Consider the following 17,536-nt stretch of genomic DNA (forward strand, 5'->3'; position numbering starts at 1 on the left):
TCGATGAGATGCTAATGTGGGTGATGGCATGCTGGAATGAAAGCCAAGCCAGCCAGACAGCCACAAAGAAGAAATCGGGTTCTTGACCCTATGGAAAGCCATGCCTGGACCACCTAGCTGTGGACTTTTATGTGGGAGAAAAGGAAGCTTCTGGTTTGTTTGCTTGTTTTTGTTTTGCTTCCATCCTTTGTTATTTTGGGTGTTCAGCATTCATAGCCAAACCTGATCATCACTTAAACTATTCCCTTTCAAGATCTTAGAATCAGAAAAGTCCTTTTATGACACGTTTTCTGATGTTTACATGTTCTTACTGTTACCAAAAATGTTTCATTATCCTCATTTTGACCTTAATCTTGTCTACCTCTCTCTGTTCCCATGACCGCAGGGCCACCTTGGGGCTCAGCTATCTGCCTGCCCATTATTGATCCCATGTTTGGCCTCTCAGTCATGATTCCAGCTCCTTTGAGAGCTTGGTCTGTGGTCTATCTACCTCTCTCATGAGCCCTTCTGCTTCCGCGGATACACACGCCTTTGGCCTTTCCCACCTTTGCTCTGGGGAAGCCAGTCTTTGATGGAGTAAATTGTAGAGCCAGGCAAATGGTCCCACTGCAAATCTACACCAGTTTGACCTCAACCAGTGCCTCTCTCTAATGAGCAATGATTCTATTCCTTTCTAATTCACTTCTTCTCCATTTCCCACAGTGCCTGATTCACACTTTGCCCTTCTTCCCAAGTAATGATTCCCACCCTACCTCCTTTATTCTCTTTGGAAGACTTTGTTTTCTATCTGACTGAGAAGACCAAGGCCATGGAGGCCCCCCAGCATCCTCTGCTCTGCATCTTCACCTTCTCCTCATCCCCTCCAGGCTAAGAGGAAAAGCCTGCCTGCTCCTCTCTAGAGCACATCCTGTGTTCTTTATCCACCCTTTGGCTTTCCCTGGGATCTCCTTCCATTAATATATCCTCTCTTTTTTATTGACACATTTGAGCATATTCATATATGTACTGGCCATTCATGATATACAGGGAACCCTACAGGCACATCTTTGCAGCAATTATGGTGAACTGTGTGTGCTTTGATAGACATACAGGAGCCATGGAGCATGTGGCAGGGGTCCCACCCATCAGGAGGGTCAGGAGGGCTTCCCAGGAGAACACCCACCCAAGTGCTCCACTTCACTGAGACTGTGCTTGTCACAGTCCTTGGTGACCATGTGTCATGGGTGATTCTCATCTTTAATTCAAGCCCTCAGTAGCATTTTTTTTTCAATCGACATTGGGGCTGTCACTCTTTTTCTGTTGTTTTCTTTGTACTTCTCTGCCACTTTTCCTCAATCTCTTTTGCTGGTTTCTCCTTAACATCCCCATTTTTAAACATTCGAGGGCCCAGGTCTTAGTTCCTAGACCACTTTTCTTTTCACTCCCACTTCCTCAGTGCTCTCATTCCATCCTGCGGCTTTAATGGGATGATGACCCTCAAATTTATATCTTTAGCCAACACCTCCCCTTCGAACTCCAGCTTCATTTTTGACATCTCCATTAGACCATTTAACAGATGGATTCAATTTAATACATCACAGATTGAACTCCTGACTTCCACCACCCCCTCAAATTTCATTTCTGCTGCAATGAAAATGGCCATCTCAGAGAATGGCCCCCCCATCCCGCCGGGTGCTCAGGACAGAAAACCTTGGCATTATCCTTGACTTTTCCCTTTCTCTCACACCCTGCTCTCAAATCATCAGCAAATCCTGTTCACACTGCTTCAAAATATATCCAAAATCTGACCACTTCTCATTGCCTCCACCATCAGACAAAGCTGAAATCATCTCTCATCCAGGTTATGGTGACAACTTCCTGAACTTGTGTCCCGGCTTCCATACATGTCCTCTAGTGCCCTCAGGCCAGCCAGAGGACGAAATCAGCTTATGTTATTCCTCTGCAAGAAATCCTCCAATCACTCCCATCTAATCCAGAGTGGAAGCCCATGTCCGTACACAACCTATCCCAATGGTGACTGAAACAGACATGGGCTCTTGAAACTAGAGGAATAGATCAAGATGTACAAATGTTCACAGAAGTTAAAAATGGAAAATATGAGAAATACTAGATGGTAAGATGCAGGGATATTATAAGACTATTACTGGGATATCAAAGCGATTGCAGGAGGTAAGGACACTTTCCTTGAGGAAGTGATGTTTCATTCATGGCGTACTGGTAAGGTGAAATATTTGTGGTAGTTATTATGCATAAGTAGTGTGTATACCATTGGGGCTGATGTGAAAAATTCTCTCTCTTGGGTAGTGTGGCCATCCTGCTGGCTTTTTCCAGGGCACCTACTGTCCATTTTAGCCATAGAAGCTGGTGCTGGAGTTCACCTCCTTTGCCCAGCTAAGGCTTCTGCACAGTGAGATGAGGCAGGTAGTGACTCCCGCCCCAGGAAACTCTCACTGATCCCTGTGGTCTCCTTGGGCTGCCTCTGTCTGTGCCTTGTGTGTGTTTCACTCTCCCAGCCCCTTTTAGGACCCCCTGAGAGTCCACATTGGGACACCTGGAGCCAGTCTTCACCACATCATGCCCACCAGAGGAGACAAGTTCTCTTTTATGAAGATGGAATTTGCCATCACAAAAGAGGCTTGCCCATCTGCTCTCTTCTTCCTTGCTGAGGGCAATATTGCATAGTTTCCGGAAGGTGGGGCAGGGAAATTTGAGAGGAAAATTTGCCCAACTGACTTCTTTTCATCTATACTTTTACTTCCTTGGGCTCTTAGGTCTCTTACTACCTCTGGTTTTGTGAAGAGCCACCCCCTGGCAAGGTCAGTCATGCCTGGAGTTCCCATGCCATGTAAAATTGTCTGTATGCTGGTACAAGGACTCCAACTATTGCTAACCTTCTAGTCTCCTTACAGTTAGCACATTGGTCTGAGTAATTTATGTAATTTCCCTATTGGAAGCTTAGGGCAGTTTCCGAGGGGAATTCTAATGTAGGAGGAAGAGGGGACTCTGGGGTAGGGTGGCCACAGTGTGCAGTTGATTCCTTGTTGATGTTCGCTCCAGCATGAGCTGCACACCAGCTGGCTACTTCCACAGGCACACTCAATGCAGGAAGCCATCTCCTAAGGACAGTCACTGACTCTTTTTAGGGCCACCACAGTGAGATCCAGACTGAGAAGACAGGAGCTCGCCTGGTACTTGGGGTCGTAGGACCATTTCAGGCAGAGAGGGCTTCAGATTCCTCCTTCTTCATGCAGGGGCCATTGGATTCGTACAAGAGCTGCATTAGTTGCTCTCTTTCTTGCTCTTCAGGAGGGCTTCCTAGCAACTGCCCTGCTGCCCCCACCCCAACTCAGCCATCTCTCTCATACAGGGAAGACGACTTGTCTATTTCTCTTGCTGTATATGTGGTTTTATCACTGAGCAGGGGACTTGTCCCTTCCTTGATCGTCTTCCTCGAGGTATGACTAGAAAGACCTTTCTCTGCCTTTAATAATGCTGACACCATCATTTTGACCTGATTGTAAGCCCCAGCTGACTCGGGAGGGCAGCATTGGCATTTTTATTTTTACTGATTCCTGCACAGTTTATACACCTCCTTGGGCATGGTACTACCTGACTATACTAGGTCCTCACCATCCGAGAGGCCTCTGGGGAGGCAGTAGGTCAGGGTGGAGAAGGCACGTGTGGAAGGGGGTGCTGTGGGACTCAACTCAAGTGTGGCTGAGGGACAGGGGGTCAGGGCCTGGGTGCTGGGCACAGGACACAGGCAGCAGGGATGCCCCGGCCCATTGTGGGTGCCTTTTGCCCTCAGACTCACCACCCCCATGGTGATGTTCCAGCCGGGTGGACAGTGGACAACTGCTGTGTGAAAAAAGAGTGACAGCATCAGAGGGGAGGGGCTGAACACTGGGAGGGATGAGAGCTGCCTGGAAGGAACGGGGCAGAGGAACTGGATGAGAGAAAGCCTGGGAGGATCTGAAGAAGGAGGAGGAATTAGGACAATGCCAGCTGCAGGAGGCAGAGAAGACTTCCTGGGGAATATTTTATCAATTTCTCTCTTTTATTTTTAACCACCCAGAAGGCTCAGTACCTGGAAGGCTGGAAACATGGACATTGAGTTATCACATGTAAATCGGAAAAGAGAAGATTCCCCCACCCGCTCCCTGGTTTCTTCACCTGCTCCCAGGGGGTTACCATTAACTATTGGTCTATTATCATTCTTTTTTTATGGCCACACAGTATTCTATGGTATATATGTGCCATGGTTTTGTAATACTGAGTATTATTATTTAAGTAACTTTCTTTTACAAAAGCAATTTGCTTATCACTTGGAAAATTATCATGAACAGTATTGTATGTCAAATACAAGTCCCAGACACAGGCACTGGGCCTCCTTGCAGTGCATGGGAAGGTGGTGTCACCCAGTTAGAGTTCTGTCCCCAGTCTAGCACACCTCACATGATGCTCAACAACTGCTACTGTCAAAGAGGATTATCTGGATGACTTGAAGGGTCTTTCCAGTCATAAAGGTCAACAAGGCCACCAGGGTGTCCTCAGCCAGGTCCACACAGAAGCGATGGGAAAAGAAGTGTTAGTGACAGGAGGGAGGCCAGAATTCAGAGAGACAGAACTGGCCTGGACATCCCAACCTGCAGAGCTGAGTCGTGTTCTTGGTGTGTCGACACATGAAAAGGGTGTTAATTACACCCTCTCCCTGGGCCTGGGGGTATAGCTCAGGGGTAGAGCATTTGACTGCAGATCAAGAGGTCCCTGGTTCAAATCCAGGTGCCCCCTACCCTGTTTCACTTTTAATCACCAAAGTGGGTCCTGGATCACATGCTCCTCTCGGGCTCTCTCTATTAACTCAACCCTGGGCAAGATATGACCAGGCCTGCTGCCCCCTCTGCTCCTACTCCCCATCTGCTGAGCCCTCAACAGGCCCAACGAGATGCCCGCCTGCACCCCCTCCCCCGCCCACCCCGGTCCCCGGAAATCACCCAACTGACTTCCAGTTGAAAGTCTAGCACTAAGAGGCACTAAATTTGCACCATGGACCTCTTGACCTGCAGGCAAATGCTCTTCCTCTGAGCTAGAAACCCACTTCAGATGAGTTCCCAATGGACACTGCTTAAGGATGTCGCCTGCCCAAGGGAGGGATCCTCCTGAAACCCACAATAGTTTCTGTTTACTCCAGGTCAGGTCCCATGTCCTAGCAGACCTATCTCATACCAACCAACCCTCTCTGGCCATTGGCTCTATCCCTCTCCCACTGACCCCTCATTTGAGTCCCAGAGCCTCCTTTGTACTGTGTGGTCCATTCTCCTCCTTCTGTCTCAAGCTGAGTGCGTAAGCTTTGACATCACTTCTTGCTGGAATGATCATCCACTACATCTCTCCTTCCTTTGCCTCTTCCTCATGGACATTTATTCTAAAATCAACCCCATCCACCCCACCCTCACCCTCACCCTTTAGACAATGGCTGGATTTTGCTTCTTTTCTTTTTTTTTTTTCTTTTTTTTTTTGATGGAGCTCATTCTGTAGCCCAGGATGGAGTGCAATGGCACGATCTCTGTTCACTGCAACCTCCACCTCCTGGGCTCAAGCTATTCTCCTGCCTTAGCCTCCCAGGTAGCTGAGATTACAGGCATGCGCCACCACGCCCGGCTAATTTTTGTATTTTTAGTAGAGACGGGGTTTTGCCATGTTGGCCGGGCTGGTCTCAAACTCCTGACCTCAGGTGATCCGCCCGCCTCGGCCTCCCAAAGTGCTGGGATTACAGACGCGAGCCACCCCCCTGGCCCTTTTTTTCTATTTTCTACCTTTTCCTCCTCTTTTATCCCAAGGCCAAATTCAAGGCCTTGGACTGCAGGGCTGACCCTAGGGGAGGTGGAAGCTGCCCTCCTGGTGAGCAGCCCAGTTGTCTCAGAAGGTGTCACTCAGCAGGTCAGCACATATGAGGGATAGGGATTGGGCGTAAGCCTGTCTGTCTGGGGGTCCAAAGCCCAGGCCCAAAGGGGCTTCTGAACTGGGATGAGGAATCCCTCCCTCCAGTGGCTGAGCCACGGCCCCAGGCACGTGAGAACACAGGCAAACCGGGCACCTTCCCTGGCAAGACACATCCACAGGGACACGTGGTGCTGTCCCTTGCTGTAGTCAAAGGCCACGTAGATTCCAGACTTGTGGCACAGGGGTCCCGATTGGTGGGAAAGCCCCTAGATATTTTCTGTTACTACAGTGAGTGGGCAGCTTTGGCACTTGGTGGGCAGCGGCCAGGGCTACTGGGAGTTCTATGAGACACTTCATCAGCTGGGAGAGGAGGCTGCTTTTGCTGTCATGGAGATTTGGCAGAGTTTAGAGTTTGTTTGGATGTTTGTTGTGAATTCTCCACATCTTCTCGTAAATTCTCTCTACAGTTCTTGGATTGGTGTTCTTTCCTGAAAAATGCCCCAGCCTTCACATGAGAGCCCAGGGAGGCTGTGCATTTAACTGAATGCAGCAACTGCAAGATCCAATTTTGCCTCTGGTTTTCTGCTATGACACACGGGAGCCTTAGAAAAGATTCTCTCAGCATAATGCTGGAAGCTCTAGGAACCCTTCTGCGCGTTGCATGGAGAAGCTGGGCCTTTGCTCTAGCCTAGTAGTTCTCCATGCATTAGAATCGGCTCCCTACCTGTAGCTTCTCCTGTTTTATGGCAGCTGGATCTCTTGCCCTCAATGGGCTCCATTGCAGCCAATCACAGGCACCAGTGTATGTAGCTCTTCCGCTGTTGTGAGCCCTGGTCTGCTGGATTCCCATCCAGGAAGAACCAGCTGGATTTTTATTGACTTCAGTACAACTAGATCTGGCAACTCCAGTGTCCTCCCACATACCCATTTCTCTGAGGATCTCTTGCTTGCAAATCACACCTGGTACCAATTTCTGTTCTAGGCACAGACACAGGCACAAAACTAGAACCTGACTTTGTCTAATGGAAACAGATGAAACCATCGCTGACAGCACCAGGAGCTCACAGCACTGATGGGAAGGTGTGAACCTAGAATCACGGCAAGGTCACAGCAGAGAGTGTGCTGGCCAGGGGTCACTGCAGCCCTGCCGGATGCTGGATGCAGCTGCTAGCCCTGTTGCTAGACCAGAGCTCTGCCATCTTGGGATGCAGCTTATCAGCCTTGCTCTGCACATCGTCCAGTCCACATTCAACATCTGAGCAGGTCCTTACCACCCGAGGTCGAAGCGGGAGTATTTGGCACACCTATTTGATGTAGCATGTTGCAGAGCTATGCTTTCCCCCAAGACTCACATTATTTTGGGTTCCTAAAGTCATATAATAATACAAACATCCACCTCAAGCCACAAGAGAGGGACTGAGTCAGCACCAGAGGGCTGGGTGGCAGCGCCCGTTGCCTTCCTCCTAAGTTTTCAGAACAACAGCTGGCTCAGGGGATAAAAGCATCAGAGCTAGGGGACAGCTGGATTTGAGCCAGGGACCTCTTGATCTGAGTCAAATACTCTACTCCTGAGCTACACTTTCTCTCTGCTGTAACTTAGGTTTAGCATATTGACCACTGTGGCCTCACCCACAGACTCCAGCACACTGTAACTTCCATTTGCTGCTCTTAGTCTACCCCTGGCACCCAGCAGATTGATCTCACTACACACTGCCTCTTTGGGCCATGAGCTCACCCTGTCCTGTGCTTCTTGTGAACTCCAGAAGTCTCCTCCGCCCTGACCTAAGGTTTCCCTCCCTCAGTACCCATCTGGGGTCACCACCACTTCCCTCACCCCAGGACCACTGGATGTGCTTTTGGGTTTCTCTACCATATACTCCTCTGCGGTCTTCTTCCCTCATCCTATGGCCAAGACTTGGCAGGGTCTGCAGAGACTTGCTTGACACTGTGGGAGACATTTGTCCAGAAAGGCTGCCATCTCCATGCTAGGCCAAGATGCAGCCCCATCTCTCACAGGAGGCCCCACACTGGCAGGTCAGCACAGCTGGGGAGGCACCAAGCCTGGATATCTGGAGGACTTAAAGACCAGGCCCTAAGGGCCTCTGAACTAGGACTAAGGACTCTCTCTTTGTCCTGCCCAAGCCCTGGCCTCCCTGGCAGCAGGACAGACTACACTGAAGAGTGTGCACCTTTTCTCTGTCAGGCAAACCTGTAGTGAGGGATGCCACTGCCAGACCATCCGAGCACCTAAGACGCCTCATGGATGCCAGGATCTCAGCCACCCCGGGGGCTACTGATGATGTGGCAAAGATCTGTTAGGAATGGATTCAATAATTCTTATTACACAGACAAGTTCCATGTGAGAAAGAAAGAAGGAGTGAGAGAGAGAGAAAGAAAAAGAAAGAGGAGAGACAGAAAAGATGAAAGAAAGAAGAGAAAAAGAGAAAGAAAGAAGAAAGGGAGAGAGAAAGAAAAAAGAAAAAGAAAAGAAGACAGAAAGAAGAAAAGAAAAAATACTAGTTTTCTTGAAAATCTCATGTCAGTACCTCCTGGCCTCTTCTTGAGTACATTATAGATTCTCAACAAATGCTTGTTGACTTAAAAATACATAGAACATTTAGGAAACACAAATAAAAATCAGGAAGAAAACAAATACTCCTATAATCACACCAGCAAAATAACTCCTGTTCAGAGGTCTGTTTCTATTCTTCCAAACTTAAAATGCACAGCCTTGGGCAGAGGACTGAAGTGCTTGCTGCCACAGGGTTGACCCAGGCCCAGCTCCTTGGTGCTGTCCCGTCAGCTCCCTTTCTGTTGGGAGCTGCCTTTCTCCCTTAGCAGTTGTCCCCTGTCCTGTTCTGTAAGCATAAGAATTTTGAATTTAACAGCAGGCATATCCCTGAATTTATCTTCCTTTTATATCAAAATTATTGTAATTCTTTAAAAGGTGGTAGGTACTTTCATACGGGGCTGCTGGGATGAATTGCAATTGGGGTATCTTTTCTGGAAGGCTGCTTGGCAATAAAAATGTTTAAATATCTGCATTTGCTTTGTCTCATATGAGTGTGCAAAAATGTACATACATGGTTGGTCATTGTAGTGCTCTTTGTAAAAACGAAAAAAGCTGTGCCGGGCGTGGTGGCTCACGCCTGTAATCCCAGCACTTTGGGAGGCTGAGGCGGGCGGATCACGAGGTCAGGAGATCCAGACCATCCTGGCTAACACGATGAAACCCCGTCTTTACTAAAAATACAAAAAATTAGCCGGGCGCTGTGGCGGGCGCCTGTAGTCCCAGCTACTCGGGAGGCTGAGGCAGGAGAATGGCGTGAACCCGAGAGGCAGAGCTTGCGTAAGCGGAGATCGCGCCCCTGCACTCCAGCCTGGGTGACAGAGCAAGACTCCATCTCAAAAAAAAAAAAAGCTGCATAGACACACATTCTGTATAGGTGCTGAGAACTCCATGAGAAGACCATTTGAACGGACACTGTGTGTGGCTCTGCAAGCTATGAAGGCAGCCACTGCCACCCAACATGTGGTGGTCAAGGGCAACTTCTAGCCTCTTCCCCTTCATCCTCAATTTGAAGTAGAGAATTCATTTTAGCTATAGCGTCTGTCACTGGTTGACAAAGACATGCAATTAAAATGGTTCTCAAAGATGCCAGAGCTCCAGTAAATAAAGTGCTTCTAAATAATGTATTGAAGGGGTTTTCTCCTAGCCATTGTGTTGGTGGAAGCTATGGGGCTGGGAGTGATGGCATGTCACATGAATTTAGTACATTTGACCTTTCCAGTCTCTTCAACTCTAGAGTTGGCTAGGCATAGTGGCTCACTGGCTGTAATCCCAACACTTTAGGAGGATGAGGCGGACGAATCACGAGGTCAGGAATTGGAGACCAGCCTGGCCAATAGGGTGAAACCCTGCCTCTACTAAAAAATACAAAAATTAGCCAGGCATGGTGGTATGCACCTGTAGTCCCAGCTACTTGGGAGGCTGAGGCAGGAGAATCGCTTCAACCTTGGAGGCGGAGGTTGTAGTGAGCCGAGATCGCGCCACTGCACTCCAGCCTGGGTGACAGAGTAAGACTCCCTCTCAAAAAAAAAAAAAAAAAAAAAAAGTCTAGAGTTACTGTTCAGGGGTTTGCTGGCATCTCAATTTCATCTGTCTTTGAACAATTTTGATTTCTGATTTTAATCAGCAAGTTGAGCAAATAATAAAATAATCCCCAGCTGCTCCAAGTAAGACATCAAATGCAGAATTCAACAGCACTAAATGCAGTAGAATTTAACTGTTTCCACCCTCCTTAGACAAGTGCTGTCGAGAAATCACTTCTGCACACATTCCCCAGATTTTTGGTGCTATAAATCAGAATAGTCGTGATTATTTTTGTGTTGAAGCCTCTACCTTCAAGGTGTGACTTTGTAATTGACTCTGTTGGTATGCTAAGATTTTCTCAAATTATAGATCAAAAGAAAAACAGAGGGTGTGGTGAGGTAAGAGGCGGAGCAGCGCTGGAACAGGGGCAGCAGGAGAAGCAGGGCTGTCTTTAGCTGGCAGAGGAGGTGCAGAAGACTTCATGTTAGGTATAGTTTGGGTTCTACAAATCTTCCATGGATCCCCGTGACCATTCCTGGGGGTCTCACTCTTTCCAGATCAAAGCCCTAGATGTTCTTTTTAATTAATTAAATAATTAATTTGAGACACAGTCTTGCTCTGTCACCCAGGCTGGAGTGCAATGGCATGATCTCGGCTCACTGCAACCTCTGCCTCCTGGGGTCAAGCAATTCTCCTGCCTCAGCCTCCTGAATAGCTGAGATTACAGGTGTCCATCACCACACTCAGCTAATTTTTGTATTTTTACTAGAAACAGAGTTTCACCATGTTGTTCAGGCTAATCTCAAACTCCTGACCTCAAGGATCCACCTTGGCCTCCTAAAGTGCTGGGATTACACGCATGAGCCACCGCACCCGGCCCAGAGTCCTAGATGTTCACACTAGGAAGGCTGTAATTGAGCAATCTTGCAGAATCAAACACTGCCTTTGGCTCTCTGCTAAGCCTCATGGCTGCTAGAAAGGAGAGATTTTGGTTCTTTTCATTGGACTTTTTGTTGTTTCTTTCTCTAAGCTATCCCAGTACATCAGCTACACTGCCAGCTTCCAGTTCAATAACAAGAAGCAAATGTGTATCTGGAAGCCTGGTCCCTAGTGGGCACTTCATTCCAGATGACCACTAGCAGTAATTTTCTTAGTTATTTTGCCAGTGTGGGCTATAGGTTATACCATATTCCCAGGCCCAAAGATTAACTGGATTGCCTCCAAATTTAGCCTCAGCCAGTCTGGATAATCAATACCATTTTCATAATGGTCTGTTGCCTGAAACCCACTCCTAACACCAACTTATGTAGCAGGTAGAAAATCTGGGTACACAGCCAGGTGCGGTGGCTCACGCCTGTAATCCCAGCACTTTGGGAGGCCAAGGTGGGCGGATCATGAGGTCAGGAGATTGAGACCATCCTGGCTAACATGGTGAAACCCTGTCTCTACTAAAAATACAAAAAATTAGCCGGGCATGGTTGCAGGCACCTGTAGTCCCAGAGTACTCGGGAGGCTGAGGCAGGAGAATGGTGTGAACCCTGGAGGCGGAGATTGCAGTGAGCCGAGATCGTGCCACTGCATTCCAGGCTGGGCGACAGAGCGAGATTCATCTCAAAAAAAAAAAAAAGAAAGAAAGAAAAGAAAATTTGGGTACAAAACCAGAAGCTAGCTTTGACTACCTGAAACAGACAAGGTGACTGTTGTCAGGCAGTTCCTAACACTGAAAGAAAGCCTGGAACAAGAGGCTTAGGAGTTGGGCAGGATCCCAGAGGCACTTGGCAGCCAGGCTTTAGTCAGAATCACACCGGCACAACGGGCTGTGAAGAGAGACTTCACACTGTTCTGAGCATTAAGGTGTAGGGGAAAAAAGAGAGTGACTCCATACTGGATCCATGCCAGAGCTACCGCACCAGCAAAATAAACTCTAAACTCTTTTCATTTCTGTGTCTCACTCACTTGATTACCAAAGTCTGAGTGATGAATTCCCCTACGCAAGCTCGCTGGAGATGTCAGACAGCATCTCCATCTGCCGGAGACCCTCCATGCACCCAAGACCAGCTGTGTCAGAACAGCCAGGTGGCAGGGCTGCTTGCACTGCCCCTGCCACCAGCTGGAGGGGTTTCTCTTGCCCTAGGCCCTATACAAAGCCTTTCGGGTGGGAGCAGCACACCATGGGTAGTAACTGTGGTCTCTCAAGCCACCTCTGATGGTGGTGGCAACCAGGGCAAGGTGCAGGATGTGGTCTTTTCTGGGATATTCTGATGTTACTCAAATTACTGGATCTCCAGGAGCTTCACAGATGCAGCAGAGCCACCAATAATCCCAAATTATGTGGATATTTCCCACTCCTCCATGTAGTTTCCAGGCAAATAGCTGAAGGGCCTAATATGGGAAATCGGGCAGAAGGATTCACTGTCCGTGACTGGATATTTTGGCAGAGTCCTTTTCTCAAGCTTGGCTTCCCTATCATCAAGGGAGGCAGGTTCTTTGAGCAGATTCAGACCTGGGGAATGGGTCAGAGGTCAGGAACCTCCATTGTGCCAGCTATGGTGGTAGTTCAGGTCTACACGTCTAGGGGACCACGATGGGCTCCCCATTCTCCGGCCGAAAATCCTTACCACTGATGAGTCACAGCCAAGACCTGTGTGGCACAGACCACGGAATAACACCCAAACTTCACTTCGGGGTAAAGTATCACAGTGCTTGGCCTCTGACACCCTAGAATCCTCCCAGCCCCACTGAAATCAGGGGCTCCCTTTCCACTATCATCCCTCTCACTAGCATCTCTGTCCACACAGAATGGCTACCAAAATTATTTTCAAGAATGTAGAAGTGCTGCCAGGTGTGGTGGCTCATGCCTGTAATCCCAGCACTTTGGGAGGCCGAGGCGGGCAGATCACGAGGTCAGGAGATCGAGACCATCCTGGCTAACATGGTGAAACCCCGTCTCTACTAAAAATACAAAAAATTAGCCGGGCGTGGTAGCGGGCACCTGTAGTCTTAGCTACTTAGGAGGCTGAGGCAGGAGAATGGCATGAACCCAGGAGGCGGAGCTTGCAGTGAGCCAAGATTGTGCCACTGCACTCCAGCCTGGGCAACAGAGTGAGACTCCGTCCCAAAAAAAAAAGAATGTAGAAGTGCCACACATCTATGTATTTTTCAAGCCAGGGCAAGTTACATGTGATAAATCCACTCCAGCTTACCTACCCCCTGAAGTCTATGGATTCTTTCTACATTATAGCAAGAAATCCCTAGTATCTCAAATGCATTTAGAATTGGCCTCCTGTGAATCCAGGCTTAGGTCCACCAATTGAGCAAACAGGTTTATCCCAGCTGCTCCAGCTATGGTGTTTTAAATAGAATTTTAATTGGGTACCCTCCTAATAAAAAAATTCAGACTCATTTAAAATTATACTCTTTCTACTTTATAAAATACTCCAAGAATCCACATCTACATATGTTCTTGAGGTTTTTGCTGACATACATTAGTCAGTTGGAAATCATTTTGGTGTGTGAATCTTCGTCTCTCAGCAACAGGTGCCCAGGCTCAGCTGAGATCTTACTCTCACCGTAGGTCAAGAGACAATGAGGGGTGGGGAAATTGATCTCCTGCAGTGAAAACCCTTCCCTCTGGGCTGGTCGGCTTTCAGGCAGGAAGAAGGGGCAGCCTTGGACATTAGGTAGAGTTGGTGATTTGGGATAAATCAAGTCTTCCAAATGTTCCCATAAGTCCACCTTACAATTCCTGAAGTTCCACTCTCTTAATCACTGACCTGTTTTCAGCTGGGAGAGTGAGGGAAGCTGCCAATTCCACGGACATCAAAGTTTGGCACCCACAGGGATCAGCCTTGGCTCTCATTTTCAGCTGTTTCGCTTATTCGGTGGCAAGAGATCAGACAGTTTTGTGATACAGACAGAAAAAGGCCTGTGTTTCAGTCTACGTGGAACAGATCATACAGGGTGACAGGTGAGCTGACTATTTGCTTTGTTTAAACTGGTAGGACCAGCCACCCTGCCCAAAGGCCACTTATAATCTGGGAACTACAAATTGGCCCTGAGGGAACTGCAGGCAAAAGTTACTCAACTTTTCTACAATCTGATATGGGCTTCTGGATTTCTATCCCCCCAAACTACCTAGATTTTCATTACCTTCAAGTTTAATGAGGCCAGATTCCCAATCCACATTCCCTTCATTTCCCTGAAATCACTTTTTACACATCCCTGGTACCAGCCAGGGCACTTTGATTAAAGAAGAAGCCATCTAAGGTGAGTGGAGACAGGGACATCGCTGACAGGATGGCAAGAAGCTCATGCACTTCAGAGAAGCCTGCAGAGCCAGGCTCATCAAGTAAGCAGGACCTCAGCCCACCCTGGCTAGGGAGCCGCCACTGTCTCCACGATGGATGCTGGCTGCAGCCTCTGGCCCTATTGCCATTGCCAGAGCTCTGCCATCTCCAGAATGGATTCCAAATTCGCCCTGCCTTTTATGTACAATTTACTCAACATTCATAGTCTAATGTTTAGGGGCATATAGTTGGCCAAACATTAGCCATTACCAATTGTGCTGGTTAATTTTATGTCTTGGCAGGGCACAGTGGCTCATGCCTGTAATTCCAACAGTTTGGAAGGCCGAGGTGTGCAGATTGCTTGAGCCCAGAAGTTTGAGACCAGCCTGGGCAACATGGAGAAACTCCATCTGTACAAAAAATACAAAAATTAGCTGGGCGTGGTGGTGCGCACCTGTGGTCCCAGCTACTCCGGAGGCTGGGGTAGGAGGATTTCTTGAGCCCCAGGAGGCGGAGGTTGCAGTGAGCAGAGATCATGCCACTGCACTCCAGCCTGGGTGACAGAGCAGGACCCTGTCTCAAAAAAAAAAAGTTTTTAAATGTGTCAACTTGGCTAGGCCATGGTTCCCAGATATTTGTCCAAACCAATCTAGATGCTGCTATGAAAGTATTTTTTAGAGGTGATTAACACTAAATCCATAGACTTTGAGTAAAGCAGATTACCCTCCAAATTGTGGGTGGGCCTCATCCAATCAGATAAAGGACTTACGAAGAAATGTCTGCTGTCCCCTGAGAAGGAATTCTGCCTCCATGCTGTCTTTGGACTCGAGCTGCAACCTCAACTCTTTCCTGCAAGTCCAGCCTGCTGCCATGTCCTGTATCAGACTTGCCAGCCCCCACAATTGCATGATCCAACTCCTTAAAATCTCTACGTATACACACACACACACAAACACACACACACACACGCATGCACCCTATTGGTTCTATTTTCTCTGAAGAACCCCGACTCACACACCAACAATCGGGGGGAGGAAATATCTGATCTTATTGTTTTCCTTAACCAGAGACAGGATCTTGTCTTCCACCAAGAGTTACACAATTGTGAATTCCCCAAATGAAATTAAGAGGGTTGAGATATGCAAGAAAAAAAAAAAGTTCACCCCAGACCTATGAGCACTGATTTAGCTCTCAAGAAACTGGGTTTCTCTGGAGCTTCAGGTGTCAGGGGGAGCTTTCTAGTGAAGACCTGACCTGCCTCCTCTCTCTCCTGCTTTGCAGAATGGATCCATGTGTTGAAGAAAAGCTAAGAGTAGAACATCCTATCATGTTCAGTGAGTGAAAAGGAAATAGGGGGCCAGGTGTGGTGGCTCATGCCTGTAATCTCATGATTTTGAGGGGGCGAAGGGGGGCGGATCACCTGAGGTCAGGAGTTCAAGACCAGCCTGGCCAACATGGTGAAACTCCATCTCTACTAAAAATACAAAAATTAGCCGAGCATGGTGGTACGCGCCTGTAATCCCAACTACTCAGGAGGCTGGGGCAGGAGAATCGCTTGAACCCAGGAGAGGAGGTTGCAGTGAGCCGAGATCGCACCACTGCACTCCAGCCTGGGCAACAGAGTGAGACTCTATCTCAAAAAGAAAAAAAAAAAGTGAACTAGAGAAGGGGCACCTGGATTTGAACCAGGGACCTTTTGATCTGCAGTCAAATGCTCTACCCCTAAGCTATACCCCCACCCACTTACTTGTCTCTACTAACCACTATAAACCTGTATGGCCACACCCCTGGCTGTCACCATCATGAGATGCATACTTGCTCTGTCACCATATACCCCTTTCCTATTTTACACCTGCCTGCCAGCTCTACTTGTAACCAGCATTCTTCCTTCTTTAATTCTATTAAAATCACAGGTTTGCAGACAGAACATCCTTCAGACTCACCTAGAGAAGCAGGACTCAAAGAACTGGTTGCTCAACAGACCCTTTGGAGGTGAAGCTGGTCTGGGCAGAGCTGGGTAAAAGCAAAAGTTATTGGGCCCCACTTGAGGACTCCTAAGCCAGACTCTCTGGGAACAGAACTTGGATGACATGATTCTAACAAACCTCCTATACCACTCTGACACATGGTTTGAGGCTCCTGGTTTAAACTGTTCCCTTCCACGGTACAGATCTGGAAAAACTGATAGTAATTCAAATTGTGCCCAAACAAAACGCACCTGATTAATGACCAAGTCATGACTAGAATCCACATTCATGATAAAGGGCCTCTTTGCACTGAACACTCTGAGGCAGGAGTTGAATTGCCTTTTCCTTTCCTCTTCTTTCCTCTTCTCCCCCATTCGCTGAATCCCACGATGTGTCAGATAAAAGTAGTGACCAGAAGACAGGATCCAATCCATGGAAAAGTGGAGAAGTGGAGAATCAGAGAAATCTGTGGTCACTGGGACATGACACAGGACGCAGTGATTGCAAACACGTGGGCAGAGTGAAAGGAAGGGTCAACAAGTGACACCATCTTGAACCAGGGACTACTTGATATGCAGCCAGATGCTCTGCCCCCAAAAGGTGCCCTCTCAACTGTTTAGACTTTCCTGATTGACACTGTTTCACCTATGTTCCCACACCCAAGGATCTAATAGACATTGTAATTTCTCATCATTTTCAGTGAACCACTGGCAAATGACCTCATTCAGACAGACCTCTATCTGGCTTTGAATTTACCCTGTTCTTCCCCATGGACCTATCAGAGGACTTCTAGAAATCTTTCCTGCCTAGAATCCTGCAGCCTCCTCCTCAGTCCCTGTGTGGGGCAACCATTTGCACAATTGTTTAGAGTTGGAAGCTTCCTCTCTGTCTCCTAAATTTCACTTTCTCTAACAAACTTCCCATACTCTCTCTCCACTTCACTTTCATCCTCTGCACAGTGAGGTACTTTGGGCTTAGTCCTACATTTTTTTTAACTTTTGGCTCTTCTTCCAGCTCCTCATTTACTAGTCCTTGTCTTTAAAAGGAAGACACCTTACCAGAGGGGTCCCAGCCTCATGCAGGCCACAAACTAGTAGCTCAACACAACTGGAAGAGTCAGGGCCAGGCACAAAGGCTGGCTGTATGAGCCCCAAAACTCAGGCCTCCAGTATCCTCTGTATTAGGACCAGGATCTCTGTCTCTGTGGACCTTTTCCCTGGAAATTTCTACTATAAGACCCAAAGACC

General features: G+C 47.9%; 2 non-coding genes across 2 annotated transcripts; one reads left to right on the forward strand and one right to left on the reverse strand.

The window, feature by feature from the left end:
- The first annotated feature begins 4,719 nt into the window (after nucleotides 1-4,719).
- TRC-GCA9-3 (tRNA-Cys (anticodon GCA) 9-3) lies at nucleotides 4,720-4,791 on the forward strand. Its single transcript has one exon. It is a non-coding gene; the product is annotated as a tRNA-Cys (tRNA).
- Nucleotides 4,792-15,987: 11,196 nt separating this feature from the next.
- Nucleotides 15,988-16,059, reverse strand: TRC-GCA12-1 (tRNA-Cys (anticodon GCA) 12-1). Its single transcript has one exon. It is a non-coding gene; the product is annotated as a tRNA-Cys (tRNA).
- Nucleotides 16,060-17,536: the final 1,477 nt, after the last annotated feature.

This window comes from Homo sapiens, chromosome 7 (genome assembly GCF_000001405.40).
Source record: "Homo sapiens chromosome 7, GRCh38.p14 Primary Assembly".
NCBI lineage: Eukaryota > Metazoa > Chordata > Mammalia > Primates > Hominidae > Homo > Homo sapiens.